Here is a 12,816-nt window from a genome sequence, read left to right as displayed (position 1 = left end):
CCTGCAGGTCCTTGCCATGTGGCCCTCTCCATAGGCCCTTTCACAACATGGCAGCTTGCTTCTTCAAAGCCACCAGTGCAGAAAGACAGTAAGTCTGCTAGCAAGATGGACCCTTTTTGTTTCTTTTTGTGGTTGTTGTTTTTGTTTTTTTTTGACAAAGTTTCATTCTTGTTGCCCAGGCTGGAATGCAGTGGTGTGATCTCGGCTCACTGCAACCTCTGCCTCCCGGGTTCAAGAGATTCTCCTGCCTCAGCCTCCCAAGTAGCTGGGATTATAAGCGTCCGCCACCACGCCAGGCTAATTTTTTGTATTTTTAGTAGATACGGAGTTTCAGCATGTTGGCCAGGCTGGTCTCAAACTTCTGACCTCAGGTAATCCACCCACCTCGGCCTCCCAAAGTCCTGGGATTACAAGTGTGAGCCACCACGCCTGGCCAAGATGGAGTCTTATAATGTAACATAATCATGGGAATAATGTCTACCACCTTTCCCATATTCTACTGATTAGAAGCAAGTTACAGGTCCCACACGCACTTCAAGGGGTGGGAATTACACAAAGGCATGGGCACCAGGAGGCAGAGATCATTAGGAGCCACCTTAACGTCTCTCCACGATAGCCATGCAATAGTTGTACTCTGACATCTTTTTTTGTTTTCAATTGGCTCCTGGTCATTGCCAAACCTCCAGCTTCACAGGTCAGTGGTATCTCACATAGATGCTCTGGAATCTCACATAGATGCTCTGGAGAGTCCCCAGATGCCTAAAAGCATATCCAGAAAAATCTCAAACAAAAGATTAAAACAGATCAACATACAAACTAAAAAGCCATACTCTGTTTTTTTTTAAAGCTTTATTATAGAGTATTTCAAACACACACAGAAGTAGAACAATATAATGAACCTTCCTGTGCCTGTCACTCATACCTAACAACCACTAACCCATGGCCAGTCTTGCACCATGCACACCTCTGTCTACTCTGTCCTCTTGAATGATTTGAAACAAAATCCCAGACTTCCTAGAATTCTGTGTATATGTCTGAAAAATAAGAGCTCTGGTTTTATTAAACATAACCACTGTATCATGATCTTACCTGAAAAAACAATAATTCCTTGATATCACCAAATATTCAGTGTTCCAATTTCTAATTATCTTATGTCATCATTTATATATAGCTTGTTTGAACCCAATAATGTCCATACTTTACAGTAGGTTGATATGTTTTTAAAATCTCTTTCAATCTGCAGATCCCCCTTTCATTTCTCTTTTTCTTTCTCTCTCTCTCTTTTTTGCCTTGAAGTTTATTTGTTGAAGAGATGAAAGATCAGGGTCCTTTTTTGGCAGGGAGGGGAGTCCTGGAGAATTTCCCACAGTCTGGAAATTGCTGACACACCACAATTTTTAAAAGTGAGCTTATTGCAAAATCAACTTTGTAAATACTCTTCAGATTTACTAAATGGCCTTTTTCTCAGTAATTACGTCTTCTTTCTTTACTTTTCTTTCCTCCCTGCTTCCTGAATTCATTTCTCTTGATCACCTCTGAATCAATAACAAAAAGTTTTACAAAACTGCCATCTGCTTTCCCCTGGGGTTTATATCTTAAAACAAATTTTCCTCAATTGAATTCACATTGAATAAGAACATTGAAAGCAAGGCTCCCTCATTAGACAGTTTGTTATTTCAAAGCATTTTCTATTTACTGTGCCTTATTTAGAATACAGTATAATCCTATGAAGGCAATTCTGTTTGTTCAAATTTGTGTATAATTGGAAATAATTGCAATTCCCTATCTGACATAAAGTCTCTCAACTTTTTTTATTAGAGAAATTTAATTTATTAGAAACATTGTATCATCTGAATCTATTAATGTAACATTTCTTTATGTTCCAAATTAATGAGGTTGCATTGCATCAAGAAATAATCACAATTTTAAATCTAAGTCTTAAAGATCATTTAACAGAAGTTGGCATTGATTTCTTTTTTAAATTTATTTTTATAACATCAATGTAATACATGCATATATATATATATATAATTTGAGACACGGTCTATCTCTGCCACCCAGGCTGGAGTGCAGTGGCGCAATCAGCTCATTGCAGCCTCTGCCTCCTGAGTTCAAGTGATTCTACTGCCTCAGCCTCCCGAGTAGCTAGTATTGCAGGCGCCTACCACCATATCTGGCTAATTTTTGTATTTTTAGTAGAAACAGGGTTTCACCATGTTGGCCAGGCTGGTCTGGAGCTCCTGACCTCAAGTGATCCACCCCTGCCTCAGCCTCCCAAAGTGCATGGATTACAGGCTTGAGCCACCACGCCCGACTATTTTTAAAAGTCAGTAGTACTCCCAGCTTATAAAGAAAACTAGCGGTCCCTTTCTCCACCTTCTTCACCCCTGATTCTTATTCCCTGTAGGCACTCAACACTTGACAGTCAACTTTCCATAATGTTGTTGACATCTCTCATCCATTGTCATTGCCTTTCTTGTTTTCTCTGCCCTTGGGAGGATTATATCTTTTTAACTTAACTTTTAACTTTAACTTTTAACTCTTAACTCTGTAACTTTTAACTCTTAGTAATTGTTGTGGTGTTTCTGGGAGAAAGTAGAGATAATGTGTATGTTCAGTTCACCATATTTAACTGATGGTCTTTGTATTTCCTTTTAAAGAACATTATTAGCTCACGCCTGTAATCCCAGCACTTTGAGAGGCTGAGGTGGGCAGATCACAAGGTCAGGAGTTTAAGACCAGCCTGGCCACCATGGTGAAACCCTGTCTCTACTAAAAATACAAAAATTAGCTGGATGTGGTGCTGAGTGCCTGTAATCCCAGCTACTTGGGAGGCTGAGGCAGGAGAATTGCTTGAACCCGGGAGGTGGAGGTTGCAGTGAGCCGAGATTGCGCCACTGCACTCCAGCCTGGGCGACAGAGCAAGACTCTGTCTCAAAAAGAAAAAAAAAAAGAAAACAAAACAAAAAACACTATTGTGGCCACATATGTCTCTTTCCTTCTCACTGCAAGAATAAAATGTCTCTATGTTGTTTGTAGCCGTGGAGATGAGGTGACAAGGGTGCTTAGAATGAGAGCACTTTGATATGAGAAACTACTTCTTTCTCCTGTCATCCATTTTTGAATCTTCTTGGATTTTCACATTCTAGTTCCTTTGTTGAGAGTCTAGAAAGGTGTCAAGGTTGGCAAAATACATAGAATTTTCTATATAAATGTAGGAGGCATCTTCCAGAGTATCATGATGGGGATATAACAGAGCTGCAACTTCCTTCCTCCAACCAGTTAAAAAGAATAATTTTGTGACTTGCTTTGTCTACCAAATTGATGGAAGTCTATACCCAATTTCTCTCTCTGACTTGAAGGGGATGGGTCTTTGGCCTGGCTGAGCAATAGTGTTATCCTGGTCTCCTGGTTCCTGGAGGTGCTGTACTGAAGTGTGTCCCTCTTCCTCTTGGAACAGCACTTTTTAGAGCACTAGATGCCACTGTCTGTGTGACCTCTTCACTTTTGACCTTTCTCCCTAGGAAGGACTATAGTGTTGGTTGTTCATCTTCAGCCCTGAGCACCACTTCTACATGCAACATTACATCCTGACTCTCCTCCCTTTGAGGCGTATGTCCCTAATCTCTTATTATACCAAAGAGGTTAGGGAGTGGCCTTGCAGTGGTATGCTAGTAAAGGTTTAACAGCTGGTCCTCTAGCGGGAAATAAGCCCTGATTTGTAGCATTTGCCAACTTCTGTCGTGGAAGCACTCTATCGTGGCTGACTTCAGGCTACCAACGTGACCTGGAGTTGGGAAGAAAGGTTGTAAGGTGAGCCATGTGAACAGATTCCAGTACATCGTTGCCTTTGAGAACAGGGACTTGGGGTCTTCATTCAGGACTGCCACACCCAAGGATGAAGCCATTTGCCTTTTCCATTGAGCTCCTCAGTTACTCCTGCCTACGTGTTCCAGCTGGGCTGACTCTGCCGGCTCAGGCACCTAGACTCCACTCTGGGTCAAGAGAACTCCTCAGTGCTCTGTTTTTGTCTCTTCTGTTGGCTAAAATAGTGTGTTCCCTGGTTTGATCTTAAGTTTGTTATGTTTTTGCTCTGCTTTGATGTCTTCAGAAGAACCCCTTTAAAATCAATTTCGTGCACTGATATGAAACTGATGGTATGTAGAGATTGTGTCTTATCCAGAAAGTTTCTTACGACTGATAGAAGGTAACTGGGATTCCTCATTCTGCAGTTCTGTTAACAGTGTTTTCTTTCTCCCACAGCTGACAGGCCTGTCAGAGTATACGCCGATGGAATATTTGACCTCTTCCACTCAGGTCATGCAAGAGCCCTTATGCAAGCAAAAACACTGTTTCCCAACAGCTACTTGTTGGTAGGAGGTAAGAAGTGCATTTTCTTTTTGTCTAGAAAACTCTTTTATTGTATGCTTTCTGAAAAGAGCCCCTTTCAGAGTTCCATCAGTAAAAATCTCACATTGTTAATGCTTCCAATTCAGCCCATACTGGCTCGCTTGTTCACTGCCTGAAATTTAAAATGATGTTTGAAAAACCATAGGGGAAGTTACATCATGGGATTGTATAACCCTGATCCTCAGAGAGAGATGGACTGATAGTACCACCAAGGGTAAATGCTTCATGTTTTCCATTAATGCCTTTCTATTAGTGTTTAAGGCTTGATCCAAATTATGTTCCTAAAATTTTCTAGAGGGATAAGAGAAGCAATATTATTCTGATTTCAAATCTCAAAGAACTAAAGGGAGTTAGGATGATGAAGAACAAACAAGGTCATCGTCTATTTCTTTTGTGTGACCTGCAGCACTTAAGACAATGTTGTGCTAACACTAGTGGCTTGTAACAGCCCCACTTAGTTGAATTTGTAGCAGTGTGTTAAAGACATGGAGATTTATATACCGAGGTAATCTTGGTTCACAACGAAGGGACCAATTTACTCGCTAAGTCTATGGAAAGAGAAGGATCGTTAGATGTGGACTGAAATTTTCCTCCTCCAGGAGGCCTATTTCTTTTTGGCTAAAAGGGATAGTACCTGACTAGGAAGACCTGTATTTCACTTGTGCAGCTTCAGGAAGGAGCATATTCATTCAGAGTAATCAGTTTTTGTGGCATATAAACTAGGCACCATCAAGTCTTACACCTCTACTGGGGGAAAAAAGTACTGGTAAGAGACTACATAACTGTTTTTTAAAGAATTTTGTTACCTTCTGCAATTAAAAACCACTTTGTTTGTTTGTTTGTTTGTTTGAGACGGAATCTCACTCTGTCGCCCAACTGGAGTGCAGTGGTGCAATCTTGACTCACTGCAACCTCTGCCTCCTGGGTTCAAGTGATTCTCCCGCCTCAGCCTCCTGCATAGCTGGGATTACAGGCATGTACCACCACGCCCAGCTAATTTTTTTTGTATTTTTAGTAGAGATGGGGTTTTGCCGTGTTGTCCAGGCTGGTCTTGAACTCCTGACCTCAGGTGATCCACCCACCTCAGCCTCCCAAAGTGCTGGCATTACAGGCGTGAGCCACTGTGCCCAGCCAAAAACCACTTGTTGGACATTTAAGAGGAACTCTTCTGCAGGTTTTGCCAAGGGTGGTGACCACAGGACCATTGAATGGAGTTCTTTCCAGAAGGAGGAAATGGTGGAAGGCAATGGTTACTGGGCAAGTCATGCAGAGGGAACCCAAAACAGGCAGAGAACCCAACCCTTGCTTACTTCCCTTTAGCCTGAAAACCATTCCTTGAGAGAGCACTACCACCTGGAGTCTGGTCCTAGGCTACTGGGGCCCTGGAGAGACCTCTGCAGTGTTTGGGCTTTGGTCATTTGGGTGGCCTAAGTTTGGAGGTGGTTAGGTGTGGGTCACAGTTAACAGGAACACTAGCTGTGGCCCTGGGTTATCACATCCAAAGTAAGATAAAAGGAAATGTGTAGTTTTCAGTACGTTCTTGTAAATTGGAGGAGGCAGTCAGTTAATATCAGCAGCTCTCTAGGTCATTAGGCAACAATGGTTTCACTGACTCACTGATTTCTTCATCTGACAACTTTCTTTTTTTTTTTTTTTTTTTTGAGATGGAGTCTTGCTCTGTCACCCAGGCTGGAGCACAATGGCATGATCTCGGCTCACTGCAACCTCCGCCTCCCAGGTTCAAGTGATTCTCCTGCCTCAGCCTCCCAAGTAGCTGGGATTATAGGCGCGTGCCACCATGCCGGGCTAATTTTTGTATTTTTAGTAGAGACGGGGTTTCACCATGTTGGTCAGGCTGGTCTTCAACTCCTGACCTCATGATCCACCCGCCTCAGCCTCCCAAAGTGCTGGATTACAGGCACATGCCACCATGCCCGGCTACTTTTTTGTATTTTTAGTAGAGACAGCATTTCACCATGTTGGCCAGGTCTCGAACTCCTGGCCTCAGGTGATCCACCCACCTCAGCCTCCCAAAGTGTTAGGATTACAGGCGTGAGCCACCGCTCCCGGCCCCTTCATCTAACAACTCTTTATTGAACTCTTACTATGTGCCAGGCATTTTTCTGTACACTGGGGATGCAGCCATGAACAAAACAGACTGTCTATGTCCTCAGAGAACTTGCAGTCTGAGGGAGAGGCAGTCATTGCCCACTAAACAAGTAAATATGTAGTAGTGGTACTATGAAGAAATATAGGAAAAGAGAAAAGAGTGACTGGGCGGAGGAAGGAGGGATGTTTTAGGTATAAAGGTCAGGGAAGACCTCTCTGAGGAGGTGACATTTGTGCAGAGACCTGAATGAAATAAAAGCACTCAAAAGCCAGAACATCCAGTCTTCCTTGTGCAGGATTCTCACCAGTCAAGACAACAGTGTGAGGCAAGCAGAGAAGACATGGTGACATGTTAGTTTTTTGATTTGTGTATCTTAAGGAGGCTTTCCATAAAAGCACAGATGATTCAGTACTCAGGGAAATTAATATGGGCAGAAGTTTGGAGCCAAGAAATAAAGCAGAAGAGAAGGAGAAAAATTTCAATAAGAAATCCTGGACTTTTTAGCAGCTATAGCAAAGGGGGCCACACAGTCATTCTATCACTCTCAAACTCTAGAAGCTGAATTGTACCATCAGGAAGAACTAGTTTTTCCTGCCTGAGTTCTGAGATAACTGTTTCAGAGGGTCACTGTGTAAGGGGCATTGAGTAATCCAAAGAACGATGTCCTCTATAGTAGGTTTACACAGAATTTCAGATATTCCCTTAATGGCTATTACATGGGTTGTGGAAGTCAAGGGCATATTGAACTACTTGGATGACCATGAGACTGTATCCTTTGGTAAGTGACAAGGACTGGAGTACAGGAAGAAAATAAAACAATACAGCATCAAGCTATAAAGAAATAGTATGTAGACTTCTGGGAACAGTGACAGAGTAAGAGTGAAAGCTGGGCATGGTGGTGCATGCCTGTAGTGCCAGCTACCCAGGAGACTGAGGCAAGAGGATCACCTGGACCCAGGAGTTCAAGGGTATAGTGAGCTATGATCGTACCTCTGCATAGCTATTGCATTCCAGCCTGCACAACACAGTGAGACTTCATCTCTAAAACAAACAAGAAAAACACCAACCATGGGCAACACAAACAATAATAAATAATTTCAGTGTGTTCTTTTCTCTGTAGATTTCTTATTCTTATCATCTCATTTAAAATAATCGAATTGTAATACTATGAAATATCTTCTAACCACTCTGCTAATAAAATTCAGTGACATCCTGGCTGGGCGCAGTGGCTCACACCTGTAATCCCAGCACTTTGGGAGGCTGAGTTGGGTGAATCATCTGAGGTCAGGAGTTCGAGACCAGCCTGGCCAATGTGGTGAAACCCTGTCTCTACTAAAAATACAACAAAAAATTAGCCTGGCATGGTGCTGCACGCCTGTAGTCCCAGCTACTTGGGAGGCTGAGGCAGGAGGATTGCTTGAACCTGGGAGGCGGAGGTTGCAGTGAGCCGAGATCATGCCACTGCACTCCAGTCTGGACCACAGAGTGAGATTCTGTCTCAAAAAAAAAAAAAATTCAGTGACATCCTGTATTTCATATGTCTCCATTAATTTAATATTTGATCCCAAGTCTGTTAAATGGAATCTCTAACCTCCTGTGTATAGGCAGACTGCTATGGGGGCATGGTATAAGAGCTCAAATCCCAAGAGTGGCATTGCTGTCTGGGTGTGATTTCCCAAATGGTGAATGCCTCTTGGTAAAATTGTAAACAAAACAAAGTGCAATCTTCCTTTGATGTACATAGTAATTGCCTTCCTCTAAAATTCTGTGTCTATCATAACTGTTGCAGAAATACTTTGTGATTGTATGCAAAACAAAGGCAGATTCTAGACTCAAATAATTTTATTTTTCTAAGTTTTTTATTTAATCATTTTTTTTTTTGGAGATAGGGTCTTGCTCTGTCTCCCAGGCTGAAGTGCAGTGGAGCAATCACAGCTCACTGCAGCCTCAAACTCCCGGGCTCAAGTGATCCTCCCATCTTAGCCTCCCAAGTAGCTGGGACTATAGGCACATGCCACCATGCCTGGCTAATTTTTCTGTTTTTGTTTATTGTAGAGATGGGATTTCACTATGTTGCCCAGACTGGTCTCAAACTCGGGCTCAAGTGATCCTCTGGCCTAGGTGTCCCAAAATGCTGGGATTACAGGCATGAGCTAGCACACTCAACCTCAAATAATTTTAAATATTATGCAGGGACTTTCAAAAATCTTGCAGGGATGTGGGAAAATTCTCATGCAGAGCTGCCACATGCATTGCAAGATGACTAGCTTCATTGGCCCCTGCCCACTGAATGCTGGTAGCTGCCTCCAACCATTATGACAATTAAAGATGGCCCACAGATTTCCAAAATGCTTCCTAGAGAATGATGAAATCCTTGTTGAGGACCACTGTCTTAGACTAGGAGTCTTGAAATTTTGTTCCCCACAATCTCTAAAAGAATTTTGAAAAATCTGTATACCTTCTTATACAGTTTAAAGCAGATGTCTAAAATTTATATATCAGGCCGGGTGCAGTGGCTCACGCCTGTAATCCCAGCACTTTTTGAGGCCGAGGCAGGCAGATCACATGAGGTCAGGAGTTCTAAACCAGCCTGGCCAACATGGTGAAACCCCATCTCTACTAAAAATACAAAAATTAGCTGGGTATGGTGGCAGGTGCCTGTAATCCCAGCTACTCAGGAGGCTGAGGCACTAGAGCCACTTGAACCTGGGAGGTGGAGGTTTCAGGGAGCTGAGATTGTACCACTGCACCCCAGCCTGAGTGACAGAGCGAGACGCCATCTCAAATAAATAAATAAATAAATAAAATAAGTAAATAAAATTTAGATATCTGCTTCTTAATTTAAGTAGTTATAAAAGATGTAAATTCTGGAATATTGTGAGTATTAGCCTTTTTAAAAATTAATAAACTTTATTTTTTAGAGAAGTTTTAGGTTCACAGAAAAATTGACTGGAAAGTACAGCGAATCCTTGTATACTCCTTTCTCGCACAGGCACAACTTCCCCTACTATGAATATCCTGCCCCAGCCTGATGCATTTGTTACAATCCATTAGCCTACATTGACACATCATTATCACCTCAAGTCCATAGTTTACATTAGGGTTCACTCTTAACGTTATACCTTCTATGGGTTTGGATAAAATTTTACATTGTCCAAACTCATAGATGTACATTGTATAATGACAGGTATCCACAATGATAGTATCATACAGATACTATTTTTACTGCCCTAAAAATCCTATATGCTCTACCTATTCATCTCTTCCTCCCTGTAACCCCTGACAACCACTGTTCTTTTTAGTGTAGTTTTACTTTTTCTAGAACATCATATAATTAGAATTATACAGCATGTAGCTTTTTCAGATTGGCTTCTTTTACTTCATAATATTCAATTAATGCTCCTCAATGTCTTTTCATGGCTTGCTAGCTCATTTCTTTTTGGCGCTGAATAATGTTCCATTGTCTGGATGTACCACAGTTTATCCATTCATCTGCCGAAGGACATCTTAGTGGCTTCCGCATTTTGGCAAATATGAATAAAGTTGCTATAAGCATCCATGTGGAGGTTTTTGTATGGACATACATTTTCAGTTCATTTGGATAAATACCAAGGAGTGTGATTGCTAGACTGCATGGTAGGAATATGTCTAGTTTTGTAAGAAACTGCCAAACTGTTTTCCAAAGTGGCTGTACCAGGAGTGGGTATAGCTCAGAGGTAGAGCATTCAACTGCAGATCGAAGTGGCTGTACCATTTTGCATTCCCACCAGCAATAAATGAGAGATCCTATTGCGTCATGTCCTTGCCAGCATTTGGTTGTATCAATGTTTTGGACTTTTGTCATTCTAATAGGTGTATAGTAGGTTGTTTTAATTTTCAATTTCCTAGTGACATATGATATTGAACATTTTTCATGTGCTTCCTGGCCATCTGTAGATCTTCTTTGGAGAGGTACCTGTTAAGGTCTGTAGCCCATTTTTTAAAATCCAGCTGTTTTTTTTCTTATTGTTGAGTTTTAGAGTTCTTTGTATATTTTGGGTAGCGGTCCTTTATCAGTTGTATCATTTTCAAATATTTTTCGCCCAGTCCATGTCTTTTTTTTTTTTTTTTTCGAGAAAGAGTTTCGCTCTGTTGCCCGGGCTGCAGTGCAGTGGCACGATCTTGGCTTACTGCAACCTCTGCCTCCCGGGTTCAAGCAATTCTTGTGCCTCAGCCTCCCGAGTAGCTGGGATTACAGGCATGTGCCATCACACCTGGCTAATTGTTGTATTTTTAGTACAGACAGGGTTTCACCATGTTGGCCAGGCTGTTCTTGAACTCCTGACCTCAGGTGATCCACCAACCTCGGCCTCCCAAAGTGCTGGGACTACAGGCGTGAGCCATCGTGCCCGGCCCCCAGTCTATGCCTTGTTTCCTCATTCTCCTAACATTGTCTCTTGCAGAACAGAAGTTTTTAATTTTAATAAAGTCCACCTTATCAATTGTTTCTGTCACGGTTCATGCCTTTGGTGTTGTATCTAAAAAGTCACCACCATACCCAGAAGAAACCCATCTGGGTTTTCTTCTGTAGAGTTTTATAGTTTGGCATTTTACATTTACATATAGTTTGGCATTTACATTTGATTTTTGTGAAGGATGTAAGGTTATGTCTAGATTAATTTTTTTTTTTTTTTGCATGTGAATGTCCATTTGTTCCATTTGTTGAAAGGTCTATGTTTGCTTGCCTTTGCTCCTTTGTCAAAGACTGGCTCTCTGTATATTTGTCTGGGTCTATTTCTGGGCTTTCTGTCTGTTCCATTGATGTATTTGTCTGTTCTTTTTGCCAATACCACACTGTCTTGATTACTGTAGCTTTATAGTAGGTTTTGAAGTCAGATAGTGTCAGTTTTCTGACACTTTCTTCTCCTTCAATATCAATTTGGTTTTTCTGGATCTTTTTCCTTTCCATATAAACTTTTATTTTTATTTTTATGTATTTTTTAAGAGACAGGGTTTTGCTCTGTCACTCTGAGGCCCTACTTGAGCTCCTGGAGGTAAAACCCACAAAAGTATTTGTCCCCTGGCTTCTTGAACTCTTAGACTTGTCCACACTGAGGTGCCAGCGATTTGTCAGTTTAAATTTTCCTATCCCAGCACTGGTTCCTGGGGAGGTAGCTCTGCTTGTGGGTTTCTGCTCTAGTAAGCTAATATTCTCTCTATCTGCCTGTTTCTCTCTCCAATTTTGGGAGTAGTGGTTTGCCCTGTGACCTCAGTTCTCTGATGGATCTAAGAAGACCTGTAGATTTGTCAGTTTGTTCAGTTTTTACTTGTTGTCAGGACCGAGTGGCCACTTTTAAGCTCCTTACCTACCAGACTGGAAACCAGAAATCCAATATTGACATTTTAAAACAAAATTATGGGCCAGGCGCAATGGCTCCCGCCTGTAATCCCAGCACTTTGGGAGGCCGAGGTGGGTGGATCACTTGAGGTCAAGAGTTCGAGACCAGACCAGCCTGGCCAACATGATGAAACCCCATCTCTACTAAAAATACAAAAATACTAGCCAGGCGTGCACCTGTAGTCCCAGCTACTAGGGAGGCTGAGGTGGGAGAATCGCTTGAACCCAGGAAGCGGAGGTTGCCATGAGCTGAGATTGCGCCACTGGACTCCAGCCTGGGTGACAGAGTGAGACTCCATCTCCAACAAATAAATAAATAAATACATAAATAAAAAACAAAATTGTTACCCCATCACTTTAATGCATCTATTGGCATCTAAATACTATAATGCTTTGAAATATATCATCAACAATTTACAAAACATATAACAAGCTATTTTTTAACTTTTAAATATTTATAAGTTTCATTTTTTCCCTCAAACTTATATTTTCATTCTGCTTCTCTCCCATAATTTTTCCTAATGTGATGTGTTTTAATGTTTGCAAATCTTTTAGTGATCACTGTATCATACTTCTCTGAAACAAAAATATGTATATAAATTAGAGCATAACTAACCAAAGCACCACATTATATACACTTTGATAAATAATTGTTAACATAGACATAAATTTGGACAGCAATGTATCTCTTAATGAGATGAATAGTATGTACCTGGAGATGTACTTATGGATGAATATAACTGACTGCTAGAATGAGGCAGGGTTTAACATCAATTTTATCCCTATTTTTTCCTTGTCATAGTTATAAGTGCTGAAATATGTTGTTCATGCAAATGTGTAGATAGAATGGAAGGAGTTTGTTACAGTGATGCCACTCAATTCTTTGAACTTCTGAGTTATTTACCAAAAATAACAACAT

The 12,816-nt window shown here is 41.3% G+C and overlaps 1 protein-coding gene across 4 annotated transcripts in view; it reads left to right on the top strand.

The window, feature by feature from the left end:
• The window catches only part of PCYT1B (phosphate cytidylyltransferase 1B, choline), a 114,801-nt gene that overhangs the window by 60,763 nt on the left and 41,222 nt on the right, over positions 1-12,816 (top strand). For all 4 annotated transcript variants that reach the window (NM_001163264.2, NM_001163265.2, NM_004845.5 and 1 more), the window contains one exon: positions 4,264-4,380. In NM_001163264.2, the coding sequence (NP_001156736.1) occupies positions 4,264-4,380 (117 nt within the window). The remainder of the gene's footprint in view (positions 1-4,263; positions 4,381-12,816) is intronic.

The sequence above is a fragment of the Homo sapiens genome, chromosome X (assembly GCF_000001405.40).
Source record: "Homo sapiens chromosome X, GRCh38.p14 Primary Assembly".
Classification (NCBI taxonomy): Eukaryota; Metazoa; Chordata; class Mammalia; order Primates; family Hominidae; genus Homo; species Homo sapiens.
Note: the sequence above shows the minus strand (reverse complement) of the source record. Positions and strands in the feature narration are given on the sequence as shown.